The 3,270-nt window shown below is 43.2% G+C and overlaps 1 annotated feature.

Moving 5' to 3' along the window:
* Positions 1,689 to 1,889: a silencer, noted in NCBI's record as "peak617 fragment used in MPRA reporter construct". NCBI's record gives its function as "represses an SCP1 promoter by STARR-seq MPRAs in K562 erythroleukemia cells {active_cell/tissue: K562}" and the evidence as "EXISTENCE:reporter gene assay evidence [ECO:0000049][PMID:32103011]".

Genomic DNA, 3,270 nt, shown 5'->3' on the forward strand with positions numbered 1-3,270 from the left:
AAGTCCCACACCCTTATTAGGCAGGGACATATTAGACAAAGCTGGAGCTATTGTCTACATGAATATGGGGAACAAGTTACCCATTTGTTGTCCCCTGCTTAACGAGGGAATCAACCCTGAATTCTGGGCATTGGAACGACAATCTGGAACAGCAAAAATGCCTGCCCAGTCCAAATCAGGCTAAAAGACCCCACCGCTTTTCCTTTTCAAAGGCAATATCCCTTAAGGCCTGAAGCTCATAAAGGATTACAGGATATTGTTAGACATTTAAAAGCTCAAGGCTTAGTAAGAAAATGCAGCAGTCCCTGCAACACCCCAATTCTAGGAGTAAAAATACTGAACACTCAGTGGAGACTAGTGTAAGATCTTAGACTCATCAATGAGGCAGTGATTCCTCTATATCTAGTTGTACCCAACCCCTATACCCTTCTCTCTCAACTACTAGAGGAAGCAGAATGGTTCATGGTTCTGGACCTGAAGGATGCCTTCTTCTGTATTCCCCTGTACTCTGACTCCCAGTTTCTCTTTGCCTTGGAGGATCCCACAGACCGCACATCCCAACTTACGTGGATGGTCTTGCCCCAAGGGTTTAGGGATAGCCCTCATCTGTTTGGTCAGGCACTGGCCCAAGATCTAGGCCACTGCTCAAGTCCAGGCACTCTGGTCCTTCCACATGTGGATGATTTACTGTTGGCTACCAGTTCGGAAGCCTCATACCAGCAGGCTACTCTAGATCTCTTGAACTTTCTAGCTAATCAATGGTACAAGGCATCTAAATTGAAGGCCCAGCTCTGCCTACCACAAGTCAAATATCTAGGCCTAATCTTAGCCAGAGGAACCAGGGCCCTCAGCAAGGAACGAATACAGACTATACTGGCTTACCGTCTCCCAAAGACATTAAAACAGTTGTGGAGGTTCCTTGGAATCACCGGCTTTTGCCGACTATGGATCCCCAGATACAGTGACATAGCCAAGCCCCTCGCTACTCTAATCAAGGAGACCCAGAGGGCAAATACTCATCTAGTAGAATGGGAACCAGAGGCAGAAACAGCCTTCAAAACCTTGAAGCAGGCCCTAGTACAAGCTCCAGCCTTAAGCCTTCCTACAGGACAAAACTTCTCTATACGCATCACAGAGAGAGCAGGAATAGCTCTTGGAGTCCTTACTCAGACTTGTGGGACAACCCCACAACCAGTGGCATACCCAAGTAAGGAAATTGATATATTAGCAAAAGGCTGGCCTCACTGTTTACTGCTAGTTGCAGCGGTGGCCATCTTAGTATCAGAGGCTATCAAAATAATACAAGGAAAGGATCTCACTGTCTGGACTACTAATGATGTAAATGGCATACTAGGTGCCAAAGGAAGTTTATGGCTATCAGACAACTGCCTGCTCAGATACCAAGCACTACTCCTTGAGGGACCAGTGCTTCAAATACGTATGTGTGTGGCTCTCAATCCTGCCACTTTTCTCCCAGAGGATGGGGAACCAATCAAGCATGACTGCCAACAAATTATAGTCCAGACTTATGCCACCTGAGAGAATCTCTTAGAAGTCCCCTTAGCTAATCCTGACCTTAACCTATATACCAATGAAAGTTCATTTGTGGAGAATGGGATATGAAGGACAGGTTATGCCACAGTTAGTGATATAACAGTACTTGAAAGTAAGCCTCTTCCCCCAGGGACCAGCACCCAGTTAGCAGAACTCGTGGCACTTACCCAAGCCTCGGAACTGAGAAAGGGAAAAAGAACAAACGTGTATATAGATAGCAAGTATGCTTATCTAATCCTACATGCCCATGCTGCAATATGGAAAGATAGGAAGTTCCGAACCTCTGGCAGAATCCGCATTAAATTCCACAAGGAAATCATGGAGTTATTGCACATAGTGCAAAAACCCAAGGAGGTGGCAGTCTTACACAGCCGAAGCCATCAAAAAGGGGAAGGAGAGGGGAGAACAGCAGCATAAGTGGCTGGCAGAGGCAGGGAAAGACCAGCAGAGAAAGACAGAAAGAGAGAGAGAGAGAGAGAGGGGTAAGACAAAGTCAAAGAGAAAAGGAAAGAGAGACAGAGAGAGGAAGAGACAGAGTGACAAAGAGGGAGTCAGAGAGAGAGAGGAAGAGACAGAGACAAAGAAGGAGTCAAAGAGAAAGAGACAGAAAGCCAAAGAGAAAGAAAGAGAGAAATAGTAAAGAAAAAACACTGGACCCTATTCCTTTAAAAGCCAGGGTAAATTTAAAACCTATAATTGATAATTGAAGGTCTTCTCTGTAACTCTATAACACTCCAGTATCACCTTGTTGTCAGTGTAAATAAGGGCGTAGCCCGAAAGCACTGAGGCCACTGACAACCCATAACGGTGTTTAAAGCTGATTGTTTCTCACCATAAAAGTAAGGTATATTGGCTTGGCTCAGTGGCTCATGCTTGTAAGCCCAGCATTTTGGGAGATTGAGGCAGGTGGATCACTGGAGGTCAGGAGTTCTAGACCAGGCTGGCCAAAATGGTGAAACTCTGTCTCTACTAAAAATACAAAAATTAGCTGGGCGTGGTGGTGCATGCCTGTAATCCCAGCTACACGGGAGTCTGAGGCAGGAGAATTACTTGAACCTCGGGGGGCGGAGGTTGCAGTGAGCAGAGATCGCGCCACTGCATTCCAGTCGGGGCAATAGAATGAGACTCCATCTCAGAAAAAAAAAAAGGAAGATATAACCATATAACAGACTAGTAAACATCATGAATATTACGATAGCTAAATGAGTTTAATTAACAAGTTTTTCATATGCTGCTGAAAATATTAACTTGATTACTAAATCACAAACATTTTCTAATGTATTAATTGTGAAGTAAGTTTTCCTCAATTTGTGTGTGTATGAATTTCGCAAAAAAGATGGTCTGTTTCTCTCTTTCTCTTGTCTTTCAACAGTTATGAAATCTCTGTGTACAGAGCCTCTCCAACACTATATAGATGCTCATTTCTGTAAGTCATTGTAAATCTGGTAGGCTATTCATCTCTGTTATTTCTGTGCTTCTTCAGGAAGTGTTGTCTGTTCTTTGATATATTAAGCCATTGCTTATTGCATGTGTTACACATATTATTTCCCAATATGCAACATTCTTTCTAACTGAAATATTGATATTTACTACATATATCTCTATATTTACTGCATAATAAATAAAAATACTTCTCTCAGGAAAAAAATCAATCAGGCTTATCCCCTGGGGGTACTATTACACATTTTTTCCAGGAAAATACATAATAATGGTGAA

Source organism: Homo sapiens, chromosome 1 (genome assembly GCF_000001405.40).
Source record: "Homo sapiens chromosome 1, GRCh38.p14 Primary Assembly".
Taxonomy (NCBI): domain Eukaryota; kingdom Metazoa; phylum Chordata; class Mammalia; order Primates; family Hominidae; genus Homo; species Homo sapiens.